The 27,092-nt window shown below is 38.2% G+C and overlaps 1 protein-coding gene across 1 annotated transcript in view; it reads left to right on the plus strand.

The window, feature by feature from the left end:
* The window catches only part of DCAF8L2 (DDB1 and CUL4 associated factor 8 like 2), a 281,002-nt gene that overhangs the window by 54,418 nt on the left and 199,492 nt on the right, over positions 1–27,092 (plus strand). The gene's annotated exons all lie outside the window — the stretch shown is intronic.

The raw sequence follows: 27,092 nt of genomic DNA on the forward strand, positions 1-27,092 counted from the left end.
AATATATCTCTGTCAATCATCTAGCTATCTAGCTAGCTTTCTGTCTACTGAGTGTGTGTGTGTGTGTGTGTGTGTGTGTGTGTGTGTGTATAGCAATGGGTTAATTATCCAAAGGCTAATGATTTGTTTAAAGAATATTGAAAAAGATCAATTTTGTATGATAAACATAGTCCTTAGAATCTAGAGTCTACAATAATTAAAGCAATATAATTTCCCATCATAGATATATTTAACATTTGATGGTTAAATGTTATAGTGCTTGGAATTTTTTTTTTGTACTTTAAGTTCTAGGGTACATGTGCACAACATGCAGGATTTTTGCATATGTATACATATGCTGTGTTGGTGTGCTGCACCAGTTAACTCGTCATTTGCATTAGGTATATCTCCTAATGCTATCTCTCCCCCGTCCCCCCACCCCACAACAGGGCCTGGTGTGTGATGTTCCCCTTCCTGTGTCCAAGTGTTCTCATTGTTCAATTCCCACCTATGAGTGAGAACATGCGGTGTTTGGTTATTTGTCCTTGCCATAGTTTGCTGAGAATGATGGTTTCCAGCTTCATTCCGTTTGCCGGTATTTTATTGAGGATTTCTGCATCGATGTTCATCAGGGATATTGGTCTAAAAGTCTCTTTCGTTGTTGTGTCTTTGCCAGGCTTTGGTATCAGGATGATGCTGGCCTCATTAAATGAGTTAGGGAGGATTCCCTCTTTTTCTATTGATTGGAATAGTTTCAGAAGGAATTGTACCAGCTCCTCTTTTTACCTCTGGTAGAACTCGGCTGTGAATCCGTCTGGTCCTGGACTTTTTTTGGTTGGTAGATTCTTAATTATTGCCTCAATTTCAGAGCCTGTTATTGGTCTATTCAGGGATTCAACTTCTTCCTGGTTTAGTCTTGGGAGGGTGTATATGTCCAGGAATTTATCCATTTCTTCTAGATTTTCTAGTTTATTTGCATAGAGGTGTTTATAGTATTCTCTGATGGTAGTTTGTATTTCTGTGGGATCAGTGGTGATATCCCCTTTATCATTTTTTATTGCATCTATTTGATTTTTCTCTCTTTTCTTTTTTATTAGTCTTTCTAGTGGTCTATCAATTTTGTTGATCTTTTCAAAAAACCAGCTCCTGGATTCATTGATTTTTTGAAGGGTTTTTTGTGTCTCTATCTCCTTCAGTTCTGCTCTGATCTTAGTTATTTCTTGCCTTCTGCTAGCTTTTGAATGTGTTTGCTCTTGCTTCTCTAGTTCTTTTAATTGTGATGTTAGGGTGTCAATTTTAGATCTTTCCTGCTTTCTCTTTTGGGCATTTAGTGCTATAAATTTCCCTCTACACACTGCTTTGAATGTGTCCCAGAGATTCTGGTATGTTGTGTCTTTGTTCTCATTGGTTTCAGAGAACATCTTTATTTCTGCCTTCATTTCGTTATGTACCCAGTAGTCATTCAGGAGCAGGTTGTTCAGTTTCCATGTAGTTGAGCGGTTTTGAGTGAGTTTCTTAATCCTGAGTTCTAGTTTGATTGCATTGTGATCTGAGAGACAGTTTGTTATAATTTCTGTTCTTTTACATTTGCTAAAGAGTGCTTTACTTCTAACTATGTGGTCAATATTGGAATAAGTGCGATGTGGTGCTGAGAAGAATGTATATTCTGTTGGTTTGGGGTGGAGAGTTCTGTAGATGTCTATTTGGTCTGCTTGGTGCAGAGCTGAGCTCAATTCCTGGAAATCCTTGTTAACTTTCTGTCTCGTTGATCTGTCTAATGTTGACAGTGGGGTGTTAAAGTCTCCCTTTATTATTGTGTGGGAGTCTAAGTCTCTTTGTAGGTCTCTAAGGACTTGCTTTATGAATCTGGGTGCTTCTGTATTGGGTGCATATATATTTAGGATAGTTAGCTCTTCTTGTTGAAGTGATCCCTTTACCATTATGTAATGGCCTTGTTTGTCTCTTTTGATCTTTGTTGGTTTAAAACCTGTTTTATCAGAGACTAGGATTGCAACTCCTGCCTTTTTTTGTTTTCCATTTGCTTGGTAGATCTTCCTCCATCCCTTTATTTTGAACCTATGTGTGTTTCTGCATGTGAGATGTGTCTCCTGAATAGAGCACACTGATAGGTCTTGACTCTATCCAATTTGCCAGTCTGTGTCTTTTAATTGGAGCATTTAGCCCATTTACATTTAGGGTTAATATTGTTATGTGTGAATTTGATCTTGTCATTATGATGTTAGCTGGTTATTTTGCTCATTAGTTGATGCAGTTTCTTCCTAGTGTCAATGGTCTTTACAATTTGGCATGCTTTTGCAGTGGCTGATACCAGTTTTTCCTTTCTATGTTTAGTGCTTCCTTCAGGAGCTCCTACAGGGCAGGCCTGGTGGTGACAAACTCTCAGCATTTGCTTGTCTGTAAAGGATTTTATTTCTCCTTCACTTATGAAGCTTAGTTTGGCTGGATATGAAATTCTGGGTTGAAAATTCTTTTCTTTAAGAATGTTGAATATTGGCCCCCACTCTCTTCTGGCTTGAGAGTTTCTGCCGAGAAATCAGCTGTTAGTCTGATGGGCTTCCCTTTGTGGGTAACCCGACCTTTCTCGCTGACTGCTCTTAACATTTTTTCCTTCATTTCAACTTTGGTGAATCTGACAATTATGTGTCTTGGAGTTGCTCTTCTCAAGGAGTGTCTTTGTGGCATTCTCTGTATTTCCTGAATTTGAATGTTGGCCTGCCTTACTAGGTTGGGGAAGTTCTCCTGGATAATATCCTGCAGAGTACTTTCCAACTTGGTTCCATTCTCCCCGTCACTTTCAGGTACACCAATCAGACATAGATTTGGTCTTTTCACATAGTCCCATATTTCTTGGAGGCTTTGTTCATTTCTTTTTATTCTTTTTTCTCTAAACTTCTCTTCCTGCTTCATTTCATTCATTTGATCTTCAATCCTGATACCCTTTCTTCTAGTTGATCGAATCAGCTACTGAAGCTTGTGTATTCATCACGTAGTTCTCGTGCCATGGTTTTTAGCTCCATCAGGTCATTTAAGGACTTCTCTACACTGGTTATTCTAGTTAGCCATTCATCTAATCTTTTTTCAAGGTTTTTAGCTTCTTTGTGATGGGTTCGAACTTCCTCCTTTAGCTCGGAGAAGTTTGATCGTCTGAAGCCTTCTTCTCTCAACTCGTCAAAGTCATTCTCCATCCAGCTTTGTTCCATTGCTGGCGAGGAGCTGTTTTCCTTTGGAGGGGGAGAGGTGCTCTGATTTTTAGAATTTTCAGCTTTTCTGCTCTGTTTTTTCCCCATCTTTGTGGTTTTATCTACCTTTGGTCTTTGATGATGGTGATGTACAGATGTGGTTTTGGTGTGGATGTCCTTTCTGTTTGTTAGTTTTCCTTCTGACAGTCAGGACCCTCAGCTGCAGGTCTGTTGGAGTTTGCTGGAGGTCCACTCCAGACCCTGTTTGCCTGGGTATCAGCAGCGGAAGCTGCAGAACAGCGAATATTGCTGAACAGCAAATGTTGCTGTTTGATCGTTCCTCTGGAAGCTTCGTCTCAGAGGGATACCCAGCTGTGTGAGGTGTCAGTCTGCCCCTACTGGGGGGTGCCTCCCAGTTAGGCTACTCAGGGGTCTGGGACCCACTTGAGGAGGCAGTTTGTCTGTTCTCAGATCTCAAGCTCCATGCTAGGAGAACCACTACTCTCTTCAAAGCTGTCAGACAGGGACATTTAAGTCTGCAGAGGTTTCTGCTGCCTTTTGTTCAGCTATGGCCTGCTCCCAGAAGTGGAGTCTACAGAGGCAGGCAGGCCTCCTTGAGCTGTGGTGGACTCCACCCAGTTTGAGCTTCCAGGCTGCTTTGTTTACCTATTCAAGGCTCAGCAATGGTGGGTGCCCCTCCCCCAGCCTCGCTGCCACCTTGCAGTTCGATCTCAGACTGCTGTGCTAGCAATGAGCAAGGTTCCATGGGTGTAGGACCCTCCAAGCCAGGCACAGGATATAATCTCCTGGTGTGCTGTTTGCTAAGACCATTGGAAATGTGCAGTATTGTGGGGGAGTGACCCGATTTTCCAGGTGCCATCTGTCACACCTTCCTTTGGCTAGGAAAGGGAATTCCCTGACCCCTTTTGCTTCCTGAGTGAGGCAATGCCTCACCCTGCTTCGGCTCACGCTCGGTGGGCTGCACCCACTGTCCTGCTCCCACTGTCCGACAAGCCCCAGTGAGGTGAACCTAGTACTTCAGTTGGAAATGCAGAAATCACCTGTCTTCTGTGTCGCTCACACTGGGAGCTGTAGACTGGAGCTATTCAGCCATCTTGGAACCTCCGGATTTTTTTTTTTTTCCGCTCATGTCACCCAGGCTTGAGTGCAGTGGCACGATCTCAGCTCACCACAACCTCTGCCTCCTGGGTTCAAGCAATTCTCTTGTCTCAGCCTCCCAAGTAGCTGGGACTACAGGTGCCCACCACCATGCCTGGCTAATTTTTGTATTTTTAGTAGAGACAGGTTTTCACCATGTTGGTCAGGCTGGTCTCAAACTCCTGACCTCAGGTGGTCAGCCCATCTTGGCCTCCCAAAGTGCTGGGATTACAGGCATAAGCCACTGTGCCAGGTCTAGTGCTTGGAATTATTAAATTCCAATTTAATTTAATTAATTATTAAATTAAATTTTTAATTTAATTAATTATTAAATTAAATTTTTAATTTAATTAATTATTAAATTAAATTTTTAATTTAATTAAATTAATTATTAGACTAATTTTTAATTTAATTTAATTAATTATTAAATTATAATTAAATTATTAAATTGTGGTTCAAAGCAGTCACTTGCTCCTTCTGATTAAAAAATGAAGAATGGAAATGTAATTTACTACAAGAAACAATGTATTGGTTGAGAAATTATTGAGACCGTTGCTCATCTTTATTATTCACCTTAGCATATTCTCTGTTTACTATGCTCTTGTGTATACCAGAATGTATGTTTCTCACACAGGAAGATGGTATTAAACATCATAGTATTCTGATTTCTAAAAACATTAATTTCGACAATATTCTTCCTCTCAAGGATTCTTATAAAATTCTGTTTTACATATATATGTATGTGTATATATACATATATGTGTGTGGTTATGTGTATGTGTATATATATATATATATATATATATACACACACACACACATACACATATATGTTTATGTATATGTACAAGTTTAATGTTTATAACTTTAATGACAATGAAATTGAATTTAAAACTGAAGTGAAAAATATCTTATGTCTTAGCAATAATAAGTTAGCACCCCAGTAATAAACAAGTATTATTCTTTATTTTTCAGGAAATGACACTTGGATCTTTTAACAACACTCTTTGTTTTTCCAGTTTTTGAACTGCATTGCTTTATTTTGATCAACCTAGTGACTACATTTAACCTCTCATCACCTTTAAATAAACTGAGCGTCATTCAGTTAGGTATAATACTATGCAGGATTGTGTCAATGTATATGCAAGAATTTGAGTTTGAAAACTGAATTCACTAGTGGAAGAAAGTGCTATAACAACTAGTGCAATTGTATCCTATTACCTAATTTCTGATCCTGTAGTAGGTTCACTTTCCTGCCCTATGATTACGTGAGTTGTTGTGGTCAATGAAATATAACAGTGACATGTGACACTTCAGTGTGAAAGCTTGAAGGGCTAGGGAATTATAGGCCTCATTATCTTTCTCTTGCTAAAGTGATCATAAAAGTACATGATGCCTCTGTCATCTCAGGTCCCTGTTTAGTAACAATAAGCCAAGACCCCCTGTCAATTTACATTTGACATATATCATATGTAAGAAATAAACTTTATTTTCTTCCAGTAGCAGGGATTATTGTTATTGCAGTATAATCTTGCCCATCCTGGATGGCACTGAACTACTCCAAAGAGTATGACTCTCCTATAGCAAAACCCCTAAAATAGCCTACATTCAAGACAGTGAAGGGCTAAGAAATTATTACTGAAAGAAAAAAGGAAGCTGATTGATAATATGCATCAGTGTAATATTTGGCAAAACTCTCAACTGCAATAACATAAAAATTAGATCAGGTACCTAATGAACTTACAGCCCCAAGGAAAGAAAAGAAAGAATAAAATGTTAGTAATGAGTGTTGGTTGCTGTTGGTTATGTTTACAAGGTGTTACAAGAAATTGGTAAGCACACAAAATAATCAGATGATTTGCAAGCAAGAATGAAAAAAGTATAGAAAATCCTTAAATTTAAGGACATGTAGGGTTGAAAAGTCAAGTGATTCTCAAAACCAATTAGTGATAGATATTTTTAAGCAATACTTTGAGCAACAAAGGGCTGATTAAAACTCAGAAGTGAATTGCATGAAGGATTAAATCAAGAATTGGTCATCACACAAATTGTTGAAACATATGAATTGTTCAAATTATATCACAGTAAGTATCTGAACCTCACAATAAAGATTGTGATACAAAGAAACTCCCTTCAGCTAAACAAAATATCTTGGGAAAAAGAGAATAACATTGTAGTCTCATGGTACACAGAATTAAGTTCATGGGTATAGGGACAGAGTCTAAAAATCAAGGAACAATAACAAATAGAAGAATTTTGTTAAGCAAAAAATGGGTGTGACCATTGGCACACACAGCTTAGTGAAATTAAATAGAAGCTTGCTGATTGTTTTTGGAAAGAGCCTGGAATAAAAGAGACTAACAGACAAAATCACATTTGGTTCTCCAATTTTATATGAAAAGAAAGCAGTTTGAAAATAACTGGATAAAGAGAACATATTCTTAGATGCCCAATGTAGGTGTGAACAAAGTGAATAATAGAAAAGGAAGGGCCTCTCAGGGGAAGAACCAATTGCTGGGAAGGACAATATCCTAAGGAGCAGAACTGGAGTTCAACAAAAAAAACATTATCTACCCAATGTACAGAAGTCCCTTGCAAGATCTTCCCAGCAAGATCATAGAACTAAAATGCATAAATGATTGCTGTATACTCCCCCCCCAAACCCCGCCATTCTTCTGTTTTCTATACAGGAGAACTTATTGTATATATCTTGTCCCTGTTCCACAAGTATATATTGGTTGAGTGTAGAGCAGATAATCCTACCTTTGGTCATAAGTTTTCAAATCAAGAGGAGCAAGCAGATTTGATGTGGGCTACTGCACGTCATCTGGTGTAGTGGAGATTACTGATCTTCAGCCAGAGGTAATTGTATTTAAGTTTTACTGGACTTGAAAAAAACTCTTGTGTGGTGCCTCAAGGAAAGAGTATATTCACTTTGCCTACAGGATGGAGACAAATTGATGTTTTGTCCAGAACGTGGATTGTGGTAGTCACCTGAGCAGTTCAAATATTTCCTGCTGTCCGCCTTACAGGTACATTGTAGAATTACACTCACTCATTGAATTGAGGTACGGTCATATTATTTGCTTTGCAAATGAAAAGTAGGTGAAAGTGATATATGCTACCCCTGGGCAGAAGACAAGAAATAGTCTATCATTCTAGACATTTTCTCCTCCCTGCAGAGGTGATCATGAAAGCTTAGGATGAGAGGGAGAGTCTTGAAGTCTGGTTTGCTTAGTGAATGCAGACTTCCCATTTCTCCCCTGATGACCAGTATTGGCCATGTATCGTAAACAAGAACCAAAATTTCTTATGCTAAATCACAAAGATTTGTGGAGTTTTTGTTACAGTAGCATAACCTGACATGTAGTGGCTGATTCTGAAAGTGTGTAAGAATGAGCATGTATTAGTCTGTTCTCACACTTCTAATAAAGACATACCCAAGACTGGGTAATTTATAAAGGAAAGACGTTTAATTGGCTCGCAGTTCCACATAGCTGGGGAGGCCTCACAATCATTCAGAAGGCGAATGTGGAGCAAGGTCATGTCTTACATGGCAGCAGGCAAGCGGGCATGTGCAGGGGAACTCCCCTTTATAAAACCATCAGATCTCATGAGACTTATTCACTATCATGAGAACAGCATGGGAAAATCCCACCCCACTGATTCAATTACCCGCCTTGGGTCCTTCCTATGACACATGGGGACTCTTACAATTCAAGGTGAGATTTGGGTGCAGACACAAAGCCAAACCATATCAGAACACATATGTTGAATTAATCCCATTAAAATATGGCCATATAGAAAATGTTCTTTTACTACACCAACAATAAAAATTGGAAATATAAAAGCACTAGAAACTTTGAATAGTTTATGCAAAATAATCTGTAAATAAGTGTGTTTCCTTGATTTCCTGGTGCCAAAAACTGTCTGAGAAATAGAGAACATTATACCCACAGGAACATTGCTTTAATCAAAGAGATATAAACAAAAGACAAGGATAAACAATCCAGTATTTGAGGGGCTACATCTGTTTTCCATCTATGTGTTTGAGAATAGATTCTGGTCCTTAAGGCCATAAAAAGTGTACAAGCCATAATGGGAGGCTTATTTTCAAGTTACAGTTCATACATTCAGGGATATGTGCTAGGGATAGATAACAGGCATTGTGTACCTAGATGTCTCTAGGCACCATATATCGAAAAGGAATTCTAATCACAAAGGATGAGCCACTAGCTAAAAAGCTTTGAACCTTGCTAAAATTATCATGAGATGTTATATTGCTAACCTGATCAAAGAATTGGAAGTTAAATTATAAATACATGATTTTAATACAGATAGAGGGATGGATAGATAAATTGATATCGATATATATATATATATATTTCCTAATAATTTTCATTGAGTGAGTCTAAAGCAATGACTGCTCTAGTGGGGCAATAAGCACACTCAGGGTAGTAGCAATGAGTGCACCTACAGTCATATCTTGGTTTCTAAATACTATTCTTTACTAAAAGGAATAAGAGCTCCTTAGATAAATGGCAGATTGCAGGGCTGGAACTGGGAAAGTATAAGATGAGCCTGGAACATCCCGCTATGCCATAAAGTAAATAAATGCTCAGAGAATTGAAAGGAACATATCAAAAGGACACAGGCACCAATCTGAAAGGGCTTCCACTAGCCAAATCTGAGACAATTTGAGAAGCCAAATAAATGGTGATAGCAGTGAATTATAAACCATAGAGAAAAATAACCCATGAGTCCTATTAATGGAAGAGTAAATGAATAAATGACTGAGAAAGCAAAGCTCTTTGTTATAAATATAAGAGATGATGGAAGTAGAAAATCACTATTTGGCAGCTATCATAGCAGCACTTGTTTCTGTTAGGAATTATAAACAGATACCAAAATCAATGAAGGAGCCAGGTGCAGTGGCTTGCACCAGTAATCCCAGCTACTGGGGAGGCTCAGGCAGGAGGATTGCTTGAGCCCAGGAGTTCCAGACCAGCCTAGGCAACATAGTGAGACCCATATTTATTTATTTATTTATTTATTTATTTATTTATTTATTTATTTATTTTTAATTAGCAAAGCCAGGGCCCGCACTTGGTGGCTCACACCTATAATCCCAGCACTTTGCGGGGCTGAAGCAGGAGGATCACTTGAGGTCAGGTGTTCGAGAACAGCCTGGGCAGCATGGCAAAACCCCATCTCTACTAAAAATACAAAAAATTAGCTGGGCGTGGTGGCACGTGCCTGTAATTGCAGGTACTTGGGAGGCTGAGGCATGAGAATCACTTGAACCTGGGAAGCGGAGGTTGCTGTGAGCCGAGATTGAACCACTGCCCTCCAGCCTGAGTAATAGAGTGAGACTCTGTTTCAAAGAAAGTTAAAAAGAAAGAAAGGAAGAAAGGAAGGAAGGAAGGGAAAGGAAGGAAGGAAGGAAGAAAGAGAGAGAGAGAGAGAGAGAGAAAGAAAGAAAGAAAGAAAGAAAGAAAGAAAGAAAGAAAGAAAGAAAGAAAGAAAGAAAGAAAGAAAGAGAAAGAAAGAAAGAAAGAAAGAAAGTCAAGCCTGGTGGTGTATGCCTTTAATCTCAGCTACTCGGGAGCCTGGGGCAGGAGGATCACTTGAACCCGAGAGTTCAAGGCCGCAGTGAGCTATGTATGATCATGCTACTGCACTCCAGCATGGGATACCCCATCTCTACAAAAAATTTAGTGAAAACATTTTTAAAATAAAAAAAAATTAGATTAGTAAAAATGGGGAAATGTATTTACATAGTATTAAGATATTTATTAATTACAAAATATCCACCTTATAATAAAGAAGCCAGATGCATATCACTTTCACCAAATAATTAATGTTAACCTTGTCATTAGTGAGTCAAATATGCATTGTGTACTTCATGCTATGATACATTGACAGTGATATATCATATCTGGTGTATTCTTGACAAAAATGCACAAGGTCAATTTAAACAAGACAAAAAACCTGAACTGATTGACATGGTATAAAATAGTTTATACTCTTCAAAAATATCAACATACTTAAAGCTTGAGAAACTCTTCCAGATTAAAGGAAATGCGTGAGACAGAACAATTAAGTTCAAATTGTAATTCTGAATTGCATATTGGACTGAATTTTATTTTTTATAATGGATGTTAAGGAACAATTGGCAAAATTTGAATAAAGAGTGTTTACAGGCTGGGCGTGGTGGCTCAGCACTGTAATCCCAGCACATGGTGGCTCAGGCCTGTAATCCCAGCACTCTGGGGGACCGAGGCAGGTGGATCACTTGAGCTCAGAAGTTCAATACCACCCTGGGCAACATGGCAAAAACCCTTCTTTACAAAAAACCCACAAAAATTAGCCAGGTGTGGTGGCACAGGCCTGTAGTCCCAGCTCCTGGGGAGGCTGAGACAGGAGGATCACTTGAGCCCTGGAGGTGGAGGTTGCAGTGAGCCGTGATCACACCACTGTGCTTCAGCCTGGGCTACAGAGAGACCCTGTCTCAAAAAAAAAAAAAAAAGTGTTTTTGCATTGATGTCAATATCTCGACTTTGATAATTGTACTTTGTTTATGTAAGAGAATGTTCTTGTTTTTATGAAAACACATTGTAAGTATTTAGAAGCATCATAACTGCAACTTATTCTCAAAAGTCCCAGATAGTTCAAAAATATGTAGATAGATACATATATACGTGCATGCATACATACTTACAAATAAGTAGAGAATAACGAAGTAGTTGTTATTCACCAAATTTAACATTTGGGAAATCCAGGTAAAGGTGGTTTGGGTAACACATTCTTTTTGCTCTAAGCCTGAATTATATGACAAAATGATTCCAAGTTCAAAGTTTTATCTTCTGCCTTTATTTTACTTGACTTCTCTTTCACATTTGACATTGTTCACCAGTTCTTCTCGTGAGAAACCGTATTTCTTGAATTTGATGATACTGAATTCTGTGATATTAGAAGCACTTCTTCAGGCGATTTCGAAGACACTGATTTTCCCTAGGGTTTCTGGTCTTTTTGGTCTACACATTCCCTAAATAATAACATCTAGTTCTGTGGCTTACACTACCACATAGGAAGTTAAGGATTCCCAAATTTATATTTCAAGTCCAGATTTTTCCCTGTGCTCCTTACTCTTTTAACCAATTTCTTACTGGATGCTTTCTTCTCAATTTTCCATAGGGAGTTTATACTGAAATGTTCAAAGCTGTACATATTATTTTTCTTTTGAAACCCAATTGCTTCTTTTGTGTTCCTATACTTATTGATTACATCAGTCACTGCAGTAAAAAACACAGCAGCATCCTAAGTTGTATTCACCAAATTCTATGCGGAAAATACTTTAAACTCTCTAGTCTTTACACTAACATTCATTCATTCAACAAATATTTATTTTCTATGTATTTGGCACTGGGACTAGAGCGGTGAACAAGATGTATGTAGCTCGGTCTTTTTTCTGTTAATATTTTTAATTGGCAAATCATAATTATATGTATTTATGCTCAGTCTTGATTATGCTTGCTTTCTATTGGAAAAAGTAGACAATTAGATGTAAGTCATCTTTTTCACTCAAAGAACACATCTATTTATATTACCAAGTAACAGATTCAGTGTCAAAAATCTGAGAACTCTAGGGTAAAAAAGAAAAATTAAATCATCTCTTATCACATCGCCATCATAATTATGACATTTACTGTTACCATTTACTGCCACTGTCACCAGAGTGATGGCTTTAAAAAGCAGTTCTGATCATGTCATACCATTTCCCTGATTAAGATTCTTCAGTAGCCCACTACTGGCTATAGGAAAACCTCTAACACCTTGGCAAGGCTTCACAGCTGTTTACAGCCTTGCCTCTGCTTACCTAAAGGTACATTTTGCTTTTTTGTCCTACTCTCACCCCTCCTCTTCCTCATATTCTTCGGAGCCATCCTGAATAACTTCATGGTGCCAGAGTGCTATACTGTTGTATGTTCTGCTGAGATACCATTGGACCTGGTGCATGTATTTACTATAAAGCAAATAACATCAAATTTCAGATATTTATTTATCTTTCTTTACTGAGCTCACGCAAGTAAAAGAGACTTATTGATCTTTAAGTTTCCAATATTTACCATACCTGAGGCATAGTAGGAGTCCACAAATATATATTGAAATAATGAAATAAAAACACAGTTACGTATTATTCATTAATATAAAGAACAAATAAGATGTAATATTTTGAACTGTAGAATTTTGTCATTGCAATTTGTTACTGGGAAAAATTTGCATTCTGTTCTGAGGGACATATATAATTACTGATCTCCAATATCATCATAATTTAAACATTCTTACTAAAAGTCGTCTTTGTCATTGGTTTTATGCTATAAAAATACTACCTCCATAAATATGGCATCCCAGATAGACTATTACCTTCTATAAAAATGTACTTATCACCTTTTAAATTCTTATTCGTTTAACATTCTATTTACTTCTACTGAGGAACGAAACCCAACTAATTAATAAATAAATGAGCCAATAAATTAATTAACTATGTTTTTAAACTCTCTACTTTGACCAATGTACTTCAAGCTTGGCCCTTGGCCAGGACTGTTTATAAGGTGAACTAGGTTTCTAGTGTTCTTCTTTTGGAATGGTTAGTTACTGTTTGAAACTAAGAGTTAAAATATAGCTTTTTAATACTTCTTAGTTCTTTATGGAAATAACAGAATATAAAAAAATCCACCACTTACAGAATCACCTCTAAGGAGGATATGGTATAGGCCACCTTATTTTTAGTTGTTATATTTTGAAATGAAAATAAAACTTTTGTTGCAGAACTTTACTCCTTAGTTCAGCTAAAACTGTGTTCTTGTCACACGACCAGGGAAGACCTGGCGTGTGGACACATTGAAGGGTGAGTAGAACAGAATTGACTGGGCAAAAAGGAAAAATAGGAAAAAAAAAACTCTCAGCAAGGTGAGAGGGGATCCTGCCAGTGGGCTCCCATCTCACAGACTGAATTCCAGCCCACCATACATGAACCGAAGAGGCCCAGCTCAAGCCCCCTGCACAAGGCATGAACGTCCCATGGCTCCACCCCGTTCTCCTGGTGCACAGGCGGGTCAGAGATTATCTGGGGACCCTCCACCTTATCTGCCACCTGCATCTATCACTTTGAGGGAACCCTCATGCCTTTTCTTCCCATGTAAGTACTTGGGAATAAAAACCAAAACTGTTTATTGCCTTTCTCATTTGATAAATACATATCAAACTTATGATTATTTCTCGTACCCTCTCCCAAAATAAGAGGTTTTTTTAATTGCTATTTGCAAACTGTAAACATTTTTATTGGCAGGTAGAGGTGTTCTGTAAATGGAATCAATGTGACAGTTTGTATAGTTGGCATATTTTAAAAATTGTGTTTTTACTGAACATATAAAAAATGAATTTACAGTAAGAGCAACAACATGTAAAAGTCAAAACAAAAGTGAATAGAGCATTGGTTAGAAGTCTTTCTGTTGGTAGGAAAGGGTAGGGCACATATGAAATCATAAAGAATAAAGTCTTCACTTTATGTTATTTCAGATTGTTTATTTCCTTTGTTAATTACAGTTTAAGCACAGAAATAGAAAAAAATCAACTATAAAAGTGTGGTAGTAAATCATTTACATAACATCTAATTTTACAGCCTATGAGGATTTTGTGTTAAATATTTAATGACGGAATATGGTAAAGAGTTGGAAATTCTAGTTAAAGTTTGACAATTTGGTTAAAACAATGGAGCAAAATGAATTGAGAAGCTAAATTGTGTTTTATTGTTTAAATACAATTTTAGCCATTTCAAACTACTTATATCTTTCTAGACTCTTTGTAAGCCATTCATAATCTGGCAAAGGAGAGAGATTTACAAACTGATTACACCATAATGTGGTAAATGCACTGATGAAGGAACATGACAGGGGATTTTAAAAAGTGGCATATATTCTACTGTATGTGCACATGTATTTCCACACATGCATCTGGGCTGGTTTTACAGAGAAGGCAGAATTTTTTCTGCATATTAAAGATTGCAAAGGAATATGTAAGGCAGAGATTGGTGAGGAGAGGAAATATGTTTCAGCTCATGCAAAGACGCTGAGGTATGGATAAGCTTGGCATATTTAGCAACTGGTGAGAAATTGATATGTATTACCAACAGCATTTTATGTTATCCATTATCCTCAAAAGAATGTTTTTCCCAATATTATTTCACCATATGATCCTTTGCTCAAATATAATAATACTTGGAAACCCTATTTTTGAACAAATTATCTCAGATAATCCCAGAAACAGATGTTTTGTGTGATTAGGGTCTACAAAAAACCCTCCACCTCCCCAGTCCCTTCAGGTGATCTCTGAAGAGATTCAAAGAAACCCTTAAACATCACCCTGGAACAGTTTGAAATTCACTTTCCTGGGTCATCTGGCCCAATATTATTTGTATGCAAATTTCCCTCTAGTTTACCTATTTGTCATGCAGAAATTCTGAGCTATCAAATAATATTTTTAATTACCTGTATACCACAGTGGAGTTTTAGTACCACAACTCTTTGCAATTTAATTAGTCATACCAGTAAGAATGGGCTAGATTATGTAGATTATGCTGTTGTAACAAACAAACCCCAAGCCTTAGTAGCTTGAGACAACAAAAATTTTTATTTATTTATTTATTTATTTATTGAGATGGAGTCTTGCTTTGTCGCCCAGGCTGGAGTGCAGTGGCATGATCTTGGCTCACTGCAACCTCCGCCTCCCAGGTTCAAGTGATTCTCCTGCCTCAGCCTCCTGAGTATCTGGGATTACAGGCATGCACCACCACGCCCGGCTAATTTTTGTATTTTTAGTAGAGATGGGGTTTCACCATGTTGGCCAGGCTGGTCTCAAACTCCTGACCTCGTGATCCGCCTGCCTCGGCCTCCCAAAGTGCTGGGATTACAGGCGTGAGCACCGTGCCCGGCCCAAAAATTTATTTTTTACTCATGCTATATGACACAGGGAACTAAAGGCTTTGCTCATATTTATACACTCAGGGACCCAGGCTGATAAAAGTACTTTCTCAATAACTTCTTCCATGATAGACTTGACAGAGAGAAGAGACTTTTGAAAATCACTTATTGTCCCTTAAATCCGCCACAGAAGAGACATATTTCATTTACATTTCACATTTTACTGGTCAAATAAATGCACAAATCTATGCCGAACTTAAGCAGTGTCAGGGAAATGTAATCCTAATGTGTACCTGAAAGTATACCAATACTGATCAAACTGCACTGACTTTTGTTTTGTTTTGTTTTGCTTTTGTAGATAAAGTCTTGCTTTGTTGCCCAGGCTAGTCTTGAACTCCTGGGCTCAAATTATCCTCCCGCCTTGGCCTCCCAAAGTACTAGGATTACAGGCATGAGCCACCATGCCCCGCCAGCAGTGACTTTTGTACTACCCATACCTGTTATTTATAGTGATGAACTTCCTCTTAAATTGAAAATATATTTGATTTATATCAAAAATGTTTTTGCATGTGTGTGATTAAGAAATTTATGGGGTTTTCTTGGGGGGAAGAAGAGCTTCAAAAATTAATAGAAAACTAAACAGGCAACTTGGTCTTGGCTATAACTTGAAAACATTGATTGACCTATGGCAGAAGATTATTAGATAAAAGGAAAATAATTCAGTACAAGCAGAGAGAAAATAAAATACAAAGCAAAAACTAGAGGGAGAGACAATCAATGGACTAATAGTATGGTGCCTTTCTGTCTGTGATGTACTTCCTAACCTATCTTATTTAACACCTGAATATTGAATACTACATACATGTGGTTTCATCTTTTTAAACTATATCTTTCTAACAATGCTTGAAGGCAATCTTTCCAATATTTATTTGAAGATTAAATCATCAAAATTTTTTTGAGAGAATCTACATTCTGTGTCTGTGTGTATGCACACAGACACAGTTAGCTAGTAAAGTTAATCTTAGTTAAGTGCAGAAAATTATGTGATATATATCCAGTGTAAAGTTTAAACAAATTCTTCTTTGTTAAGGGATGTTGGTGTTGCCAACATCCAGAAGGCACTGTATGTAGAGCCTTTATCTAGATTGAGGTCTCAATCCTGTATTGAAGCCTGTAGCTCTCACCTGTTGTACCTTCTGTGTTCCACATTTTATCATGCTGTGTTAGTTCCTTTAGGCTATCAGAAATGTTAATTGTGGTCATTTGTCAGTGTCCTTCTGCTTGCAGTTGCTTTCATTTCAGTCCTTAAAATCTCTCTTCCTGGATACAGAATTAATCAGCTGTGCTACTAGGTCAATCACTGTTACTACTTCTCTTCCTAATCGCTGTTTCACTTGTTTGTGTGATACCAGAACTGACACTGACACTGGAAGCCACAAACCTCTTGTCTGTTACAACTCTCAATTGTGCCATCCTTTTTACTGCTGCCTAGTTTTCTGCTGCAGTTGGGATATTTTATAGGCTTCTCTTACTTGAGTTGAAAAGTACATTATTTTCCAAAAGACATTTTTCCTTCCCTCTAAACGGTAAATTTAACAACATTTACAGCACACCTATTTTGGCAGATACTGCGCTAATTGCTAAAGATTTGGAAATAGATGGAATATGATCCCTGTCCATATGCTCCCAGTATATCTTAAGGGTTCTAATGCAGAAGCAGCCAAACAGGTCCCTTAAAAAAGAAACATGGATGAGCTCGGAGGACATTATATTAAGTGAAATAAGGCATGCACAGAACGATAAATACTGCATGTTCTCACTTATGTAGAAGCTAAAAACACTGATCTCATAGAAGTAGATAGTAGAATAGTGGTTACTAGAGGCTAAGAAGGGTGTGGGGGTGAAGGGAAAAGCCAGAGGATGGTTAATGGATATATAAGTACAATTAGATAGGAGGAATAAGTTCTAGTGTTCTATATCACTATAGGATGACTACAATAAAAATTTATTGCATATTTTCAAATTGCTGGAAGAGTGGATTTTGAATGTTCTCAACACAAATGAAATGATAAATGTTTGAGGTGATGGATATACTAATTACCTTGATTTGATCATTACACATTGTGTACATGTACTGAAATATTAATATCACACATTAAGTCCCCCATATGTACAATTATTATGTGTTAATTAAAAAATAATAACAATTTAGAAAAATAATACACACACGAAGAAACAGATTGAATGTAAGACAATAAAGAATATCCAGGACTATGGTGAACCAGGGAACAGATATCCATTGTTGTCATCAGAGTGAAGGAAACCAAAATATTTCATCCCAAAATATTGTAGGGGCCAAGGGCTGCAGGTTCCTCTTGGCCCTCTGAAGCTTCATTGAAAAATCAACTCACAAAAGGCAGATTATTTGGAGAAATGGCATACAAGTTTATTTAATGTGTATACATGGGACCTTTCAGAATGAAGACCCAAAGGCACAGGGGAAATTGTCAATTTTTGTGTTTGGTTTCAACAAAGCACGGACAGCCATGTAGAAATATGATCTGACAAAAAGAGTATGATCAAATGCTAACAGACTGAGTGGGGAAACCCAGCAAGGCCTGTCTATATATATTTTTTGCACTGAAATAAATTTTTTTATTTTTTATTTTATTTATTTATTTATTTATTTATTTATTTATTTATTTATTTGAGATGGAGTTTCTCTCTTGTTGCCCAGGCTGGAGTGCAATGGCGCGATCTCAGCTCACGGCAACCTCCACCTCCCGAGTTCAAGCCATCCTCCTGCCTCAGCCTCCTGAGTAGCTGGGATTCAGGCATGCGCTACCATGCCTGACTAATTTTGTATTTTCAGTAGAGACAGGATTTCTCCATGTTGGTCAGGCTGGTCTTGAACTTCCGACCTCAGGTGATCCACCTGCCTCGGCCTCTCAAAGTGCTGGGAGTACAGGCATGAGCCACTGTGCCTGGCCAAAATTTTATTTTATTTTTATAATTTCAACTTTTATTTTAGATACAAGGGGTACATATGCAGGATTGTTACATGGGTTTATTGTATGATGCTGAGGTTTGGTGTACAAAGGGTCCCGTTACCCAAGAAGTGAGCACAGTACCAAATAGGTTGTTTTACAGTCCCTGCCTCCCTCCTTCTCTCCCTTGTCTAGTAGTCCCCAATATCTGTTTTTCTCATCTTTATGTCCATGTGTGTATCCAGTGCTTACTTCTGACTTACAAATGAGAACATGTGGTATTTTGTTTTCTGTTCCTGCATTAATTCACTTAGGATAACCGCCTCCAGCTACATCCATGTTGCTGCAAAGGACATGATTTCATTCTCTTCTTATGGTTGCATAGTATTCCATAGTACATATGTACCAGATTTTCTTTATCTAATCTAATCTACTGTTGATGAGCATCTAGGTTGATTCTATGTCTTTGCTACTGTGAATAGTGATGCAATGAATGAATGAGTGCATGTGCCTTTTTGGTAGAATGATTTATTTTCCTTTGGCTATATACCCAGTAATAGGATTACTGGGTCAAATGGTAGTTCTGTTTTAAGTTCTTTGAGAAATCTCCAAACTGCTTTATATAGTGGCTGAACTAATTTATATTCCCGCCAACAATGTATAAGCCTTCCCTTTTCTCTGCAGCCTCACCAGCACATTTTGTTTTTTGACTTTTTAATAATAGCCATTCTCACTGGTATGAGATGGTATCTCATTGTGGTTTTGATTTCTGTTTCTCTGATGATTAGTATGTTGAACATTTTTTCATATGTTTGTTAGCCGCAGGTATATCTTCTTTTAAGAAGTGTCTGTTCATGTCCTTTGCCTACTTTTTTTTTTTTTTTTTTTTTTTTTTTGAGATGGAGTCTCGCTCTGTCGCCCAGGCTGGAGTGCAGTGGCGGGATCTCGGCTCACTGCAAGCTCCGCCTCCCGGGTTCACGCCATTCTCCTGCCTCAGCCTCCCAAGTAGCTGGGACTACAGGCGCCCGCCACTACGCCCGGCTAATTTTTTGTATTTTTAGTAGAGACGGGGTTTCACCGTTTTAGCCGGGATGGTCTCGATCTCCTGACCTCGGGATCCGCCCGCCTCGGCCTCCCAAAGTCTTTGCCTACTTTTTAATGGGGTTATTTGTTTTTCACTTGGTTCATTTGTTTAAATTCCTTATAGATTCTGGATACTAGACCTTTGTTGGATGCACGGTTTGTAAATATTTTCTCCTATTCTGTATGTCTTCTGTCTACTCTGCTGATAGTTTCTTTTGCTGTGCAGAAGCTTTTTAGTTTAATTAGATCCCACTTGTCAATTTTTGTATTTGTTGCAGTTGCTTTTGAGGACTTAGTCATAAATTCTTTGCCAAGGCCAATGCCTAGAATTGTGTTTCTTAGGTTTTCTTCTAGGATTCTTATAGTTTGTGATCTTACATTTAAATCTTTAATTCATCTTGAGTTGATTTTTGTATATGGTGAAAGGAAGGGATCAAGTTTCAGTCTACATAAGGCTAGCCAGCTATCCCAGCACCATTTATTGAATAAGAAGTCCTTTCCCCATTGCTTATTTTTGTCTACTTTGTTGAAGATCACATGGTTGTAGGTGTGCAGCTTTATTTCTGGGTTCTCTATTCTATTCCATTGGTCTACATGTCTGTTTTTGTATGAATACTATGCTGTTTTGGTTACTGTAGCCTTGTAATATAGTTTGAAGTTGGGTAGCATGAGGCTTTGTTTTCTTCATTTTACTTAGGACTGCTATTCAGAGACTTTTTTGATTCTATATGAATTTTAGAACAGTTTTTTTCTAATTCCGTGAAAAAAAATGGCCTGTCTGGATTATTCTTGGTCTCTCTGAGCCTGTATTTTATCCTTCTGGGTATGGGAGGGACCCTCTTTGGAATGGGGGTCTTACAACCTAAAGTCAAACAGGGTAGGTCAGATAATTTCTTTATGGCCAGGTTCAGCACAGAAAGGCAGAGGGAAATTTAGAATAGTATTTTTAGGTTTTATGACTGGCTTTGGGGAAAAGGAGCTCTGGTGTCTATGACCTGCCTTGAAGAACAGGGATTCTAGTTTCTATGGCTAGCCTCTGTGGAGAATGGGACTGAGACAGGAGGGCAAGAGATGGTCAGAGAAAAAACTTCCAAGGTTACTTCTGAGGCCTTCATTTTGGGGTATTGTTTTCTGACCCCCAACAATATACTTCTTTGACATATTTTGAGATGGCTATTCAGAGGGCCTGAAAACAGAAGTAGCTCTACAAAGCTGTCTTTTGTGAGAGAGATTTGTATCTGTAGAGAAAATCTGCATTGATACAGCCAGGTTTTCTCTATGGTCCCCCTTTTTTACTGATCTATGAAAAATTAAGTGAGAGTCTGGCACTTTTAAAAGCCTGAAAGTAATTTTTATCATTTAGTGTCTCTGAGAGCTGCTACCTGTGAAGTTGCCTCTACATCACAAGACCACCTTTGCTTGTCAGGCCTCCTCTTCTCTCCTTTCTATAACCTCTTTTGCCACCATAAACTGTTTTGCCAGGATCCAAGCCTCCATTCTTTCTGTAACTTCAAGATGATAGAAAAGCAACTATCTGGCCATTTCTTTGAGTTCTTATATTTTGTATGACTCTGTGGCACATTAATACATTTGCATGCCTTTTCTATTAATTTTATTTTAGTCAGTTAATTTATTAGTGAACCTTCAGAGAGCAAAAGGAAAGTTTGCCCTTCACCATACAAGAGTAATAATATTAGATCTTTCAATTTATGTGTGACTTAACATCTTGAAGTTTGAATTTTTAAGTGTTGGTAACTAGGTCAAAACATCTTTAAACACTGTATGAACTCAATAAAACCTATTTTTGGAGTGAATAAAACCTTAAGATAACCAATTTTAATTTTTGATGTAAAACCATTTCCAATATAATGGTTTCATTACTTTTCTGCATTTTCTAAAAGATGATCCCTTATATGTGATTTACATGTTGGTCATATAATCCAGATAGCTTTAGCCTAATTGATAGAAAAAGAGTTAAGAAGATTATTAACTCAAAACCTGTGAAGCACAAATGTGGCTCAAAGATTGATAAGAAAACATCAACTGAAACTGAGTATTTATTAGGAGCCCACTGAGATATCACTATTTTCTCAGGACCAGGAAATCAGAGAGAGAAGCCAGGCATCATGGCAATGAAGCAGTAAAGACACGAGTAATTAGACATATTCGATTTAATTACTCAGTTCCTTCCACTAAGCCAACATTTCTTGAATGTCCTATGCCTTAACAGCATTATATTAGGTCTAGAGTTTAAAAATTTTAGCAGTTTAAAATCTCTGTCTCAGCACAATATGAATGAAAGGGAGAGATGGGAGTGGGATAGCTGGGATGAAGAAGCTGGAAAAAACATGGCTTCAGGATACATTTAGCTTCGGCTTGATTCCATGAGTAGCTAAGGTGCATGAACTAAAACACAGAGGTTTTCCAGTGTACAGACTGGGGGTGAGGATGGTTCTAGTCATCATATCCCTGCATCAACAAGTCATTGGCTAGAGCTGCTGGAAGAGGGAATATAACCTAGTGTCTTCAGGTGTGATGGCTTCAGTTAACCAAAACCATTCTTCCAGTGAATAATAATGGAAGCCAATTGGCTGTGCGCACTTATCATTAAAGGCAATCTCGACAACAAAAGAATATGCTATACCCTGTGTTCAGAGACTAGAAATTAGTAGAAGAGACAGCCAAGTTTACAAAAAGTCATGAGGAATGCTATGACAGAAATGTTTTTTAGATGCTGATATGGTATTGCTTTGTGTCCCCACCCAAATCTTATGTTGAATTGTAATTCCCTATGCTGGGGGAGGAACCTGGTAGGAGGTGATTAGATCATCGGAGCGGATTTCCCCCTTGCTGTTCTCATCATAGGGAGTAAGTTCTTGTGACAGTGAGTAAGTTCTCATGAGATCTGTATTAGTCTGTTTTGACACTGCTATAAAGAAATTCCTGAGACTGGGTAATTTATAAAGGAAAGAGGTTTAATTGACTCCCAGTTCCACATGGCTGGGGAAGCCTCAGGAAACTTACAATCATAGTGGAAGGGGAAGCAAGCACATCTTATATGGGAGCAGGTGAGAGAGAGAGCACGTGAGAGTGCAGAAAAAACTACCATTTATAAAACCATCAGATTTGGGTGGGAACACAGAACCAAACCATATCATTCTGCCTCTTGCCCCTCCCAAATCTCATGCCTTTTCAAATTTCAAAACCAATCATGCCTTCTCAACAGTCCCTTAAATTCTTAACTCATTTCAGCATTAACTCAAAAGTCCACAGTTCAAAGTCTTATCTGAGAGAAGGCAAGTCCCTTCTGCCTATGAGCCTATAAAATCAAAAGGAAGTTAGTTACTTCATAGATATAATGTGGATGCAGGCATTCTGGTAAATACACCCATTCCAAATGGGATAATTGGCCAAAACGAAGGGGATACAAGCCCCATGTAAGTCCAAAATCCAGCAGGGCAATCATTTAAAGCTCCAAAATGATCTCCTTTGACTTCATGTCTCACATCCAGTTAATGCTGATGCAAGAGGTGGGCATGCATGGTCTTGGGCAGCTCTGCTCCTGTGGCTTTGCAGGGTATAGCCCCCATCCCAGCTGCTTATATGGGCTGGCGTTGAGTGTCTGTGGCTTTTCCAGGCACATGGTGCAAGCTGTCAGTGGATCTACCACTCTAGGGTCTGGAGAACGGTGTCCCTCTTCTTACAACTTCACTAGGCAGTGCTGCAGTGGGGACTCTGTGTGGGGGCTCTAACCCTACATTTCCCTTTTGTGCTGCCCCAGCAGAAGTTCTCCATAAGGGGCCTGCTCCTCCAGCAGACTTCTACCAGGACATCCAGGCATTTCCATACATACTGTAAAATCTAAGGATAGGTTCCCAAACCTCGATTCTTGACTTTTGTGCACCCACAGGCCCAACACCATGTGGAAGCTGCCAAGGCTTGGGGCTGTTACCCTCTGAAGCAATGGCCTGAGCTGTACCTTGGTCCCTTTTAGCCACTACTGGAGCTGAAGTGGCTGAGACACAGGGCACAATGCCCTGAGGCTACACAGAGCAGGAAGGCCCTGAGCTCAGCCCATAAAACCATTTTTCCTCTTAGGCCTCTTTACCTGTGATGGGAGGGGCTATAACCAATATCTCTGACATTCCCTGGAGACATTTTCCCCATTGTCTTAGTGATTAACATTTGGTTTATCTTTACTTATGAAAATTTCTGCAGCAGGCTTGAATTTCTCCCCAGAAAATGGGTTTTTCTTTTCTATCACATTGTCAGGCTGCAAATTTTCCAAACTTTTATGCTGTGCTTCCCTTTTAAACATAAGTTCCAGTTTCAAATAATGTCTCTTAAGTTCAAAGTTCCACAGATCTCTAGGGCAGGGGCAAAAGTCACCAGTCTCTTTGCTAAAACACAGCAAGAGTCACCTTTGCTCCAGTTCCCAATGAGTTCCTCATCTCCATTTGAGACCACCTCAGCCAGGACTTCATTGTCCATAACACTATCAGCATTTTGGTCAAAACCATTCAATAAGTGTCTCAGAAGTTCCAAACTTTCCTGCATCTTTCTGTCTTCTTCTGAGCCCTCCAAACTGTTCCAACCTCTGCCTGCTACCCAGTTCCAAAGTCACTTCCACATTTTTGGGTATCTTTACAGCAGTACCCCACCAGTCCCAATTTACTGTATTAGTCCATTTTCACACTGCTATAAAGAACTTCCCAAGACAGAGTAATTTATAAAGAAAAGAGTTTTAATTGGCTCACAGTTCTGCATGGCTGGAGAGGCCTCAGGAAACTTACAATCATGGCAGAAGAGGAAGCAAGCCCATCTTACATGGCAGCAGGTGAGAGAGAGAACATGTGAGAGTGCAGGAAAAACCACCATTTATAAAACCATCATATCTCATGAGAACTCACTCAAAATCGGGAGAACAACATGGGGGAAGTGGTCCCCATAATCCAGTCTCTTCCCTCTCTTGACATGTGGGGATTACAATTCGAGATGAGATTTGGGTGGGGACACAGAACCAAAACATATCAAGATCTTTTGGTTTAAAATTGTGTGGGACTTCCCCATTTGCTCTCTCTCTCTCTCTCTCTCTCTTTCTCTCTCTCTCTCTCTCTCTCTCTTTCTCTCTCTCTCTCTCTCTTTCTCTCTCTCTCTCTCTCTCCTGTTGCCATGTGAAGATGTGCCTGCTTCTTCTTCACCTTACACCATGATTATAAGCTTCCTGAGGCCTCCCCAGGCATGCCTCCTGTACAGCCTGTGGAGCTGTGATTAAATTAAACCACTTTTCTTTATAAATAACCCAGTCTCAGGTATGTCTTTATAGCAGTGTGAGAATGGACTAATAGAGATGCCATGGGAACCGTGGGGAGCAGGGAGTAAGGGAGAATTGACAGACTTCATAAAGGACATAATAATGAAGCTGATTATTGAATATATGTATGAATTTTTCCGATACCGGAAGTCATTCCAAAGAGAAGCAATAAGTTGTGTAGAGGTCTAAAGGAGTTAGTAAATATTCAGGGTCTACCAATGATTGTAATAAAGAGTTTTTTGAGGAGCTAAAACTGAAAAATATCCCCTAACTAAAAAGAGTCCTTTTTAATAAAAAGTATGCTTAGATGTCTGGACTCTTTCTTCAAAATGGTGTGGAGGCATTAAGGATTTTAGCCAAAGAAGAGTTATTGTACAAATAGAAGAGAGAAATAGCTATACTATTGTCAATCTAAAATAATCAAAAGGTTCAGGATCCAGTTAAAAGAGTTTATTCAAGTGCAAAGTGTGAGGGTGGCCATCAGGTCCTGGAGCAGAGCTACACCAAAGAATGGTGATCGGTACACGAGGTGTGGGGAAAAATGAGGATAATTTATGTAAGCAAAACAGAGGTACTGAACAGTGTTACAACATTTTCCATACAAAGGTCAACATACAGATATAAGGTTTGATTGGCTATTATTGATTATACTCTAAGGGGGCTGTTTAACATTCTGCTATAAAGAGATAACAATCACAATAATCTCTATCTCCATGTCATTTCATCTAGGTTGAATAAAGGATAGGGAGTCTAGTTAATGAATAACATCTCAACACAAACATCAGGAAGCTATGGTCATGCCCCAGAGAAGAAAAACAGTCCTGTTACATCAGTCAGCTTTCGGGGCTTAATTTTTCCCTTTAGCGTAATAAATTTGGAAGGTCTTGAAATTTTATTTCTTTTACACTATATATGTCCGTACACCAAAAAAGACCCACAACAGAAGCGAAATACAAGGCTGTAGCTCCACATTTGCAGTATAGAAAGTGTTCTTAATTCTCTCAGTAACTGTAGAAGTAGTTCTAGGAATGAACACAGGTAAGTATTTTTATTGTAGAATCAGTAGGAGGTAGCATTATTTAGTGGCAATTGCATGAATTAGTATATAAGAGAAATATCCCTTTATTTTATTCTATTTTAATTATGAAATAAATCACTCTTAAAATTTTTTTTTCTGTAATCTGAAAAGTAGATGAACTAGGACACTTCCAATGCATAAGACACATGCAGTGGTTGCTTTTTCAGTTTGTGAAATAAAATTATTGATCACAAGTACATTGAAAGTATTTTCATAATGATATTTAACTAACTGCCATTCATACCAGTCAGTTGAAAATAATAGTCTATAGTACTATGATAGCTGTACTAAGTTTTCTCTAGGAAGTAAACTTTAAATAAGGAAATGTGAGTGAACTCTTTTTATAAAATATAGAGATTGCCAGGACAAAAGATATTTGGCTTGATAATTATTAGTATTATTATTAAAGTCAAATGCATTCCATATCCAGGCTATAGATTTAATGACAACCTTAATGAATAAGAGAATGAATGAGAAAACATCACTGAGGAGAGTAATGAAAGACTCACTAATATATCTTAGTAAAAGGGGTTATACATACATATTGCACAATTCAGACAGCTTCTTCCCACTGATCTACAGATAAATGATTGTAATGGCTGCTGTCATAAACCGCTCAAATTCTCCCTTTAGAACCAAGGCACTCATTCCCCCAGGGGACCTAAGCATTACAGAGACATCCAAGTGCCTCTCCAGAAGCTACCCTTAACCAAAGAAAGCTGCCTCACCCAAGGTCATGAGTCCTCCCATGGGGCAGCCCACATCCATTAACTGGGATATAAAGCACTTGCCCTCTAGATTGAAGGTCCATCTCAGCTCCAGAGCTCCCCACTACATTGGCTGATGCTTCTGTTGCAACTTTATTGCAGTTCAATTTCCCTTTCTCTCCAATGCTGATGCCCTTATTCCTCACAAATCTTAGAGTGACAGAATCTGTTTTCTACTCATTCTATGATAATTAGCATCAGGAATGGTCCTAGAAAGCAACTCTAAAGTGGGATTTTAGAAATGGATCATTTGTCAGCCAGTTGGCAGGCAATAAGTAGCTTGTAATAAATGAAGGCCTGATAGTCTCTTTTTGGTTGAAGTACAATTGTTAAAACTTTTTATTACTTTTAAATTATGTTAATAATTGGCACATGATAGTGAATGTTATGGGGTGTATGTGATGTTTCAATACATGTATACATTGTATAATGATTAAATCAGAGTAGTTAGCATGTCCATCACCTCAAACCTTGTTTGTAAATTTGTTTATGTAGAGACAGGGTGGTCTCAAACTCCTGGCATCAAGCAATCATCTCACCTCAG

This window comes from Homo sapiens, chromosome X (genome assembly GCF_000001405.40).
Source record: "Homo sapiens chromosome X, GRCh38.p14 Primary Assembly".
Taxonomy (NCBI): Eukaryota; Metazoa; Chordata; class Mammalia; order Primates; family Hominidae; genus Homo; species Homo sapiens.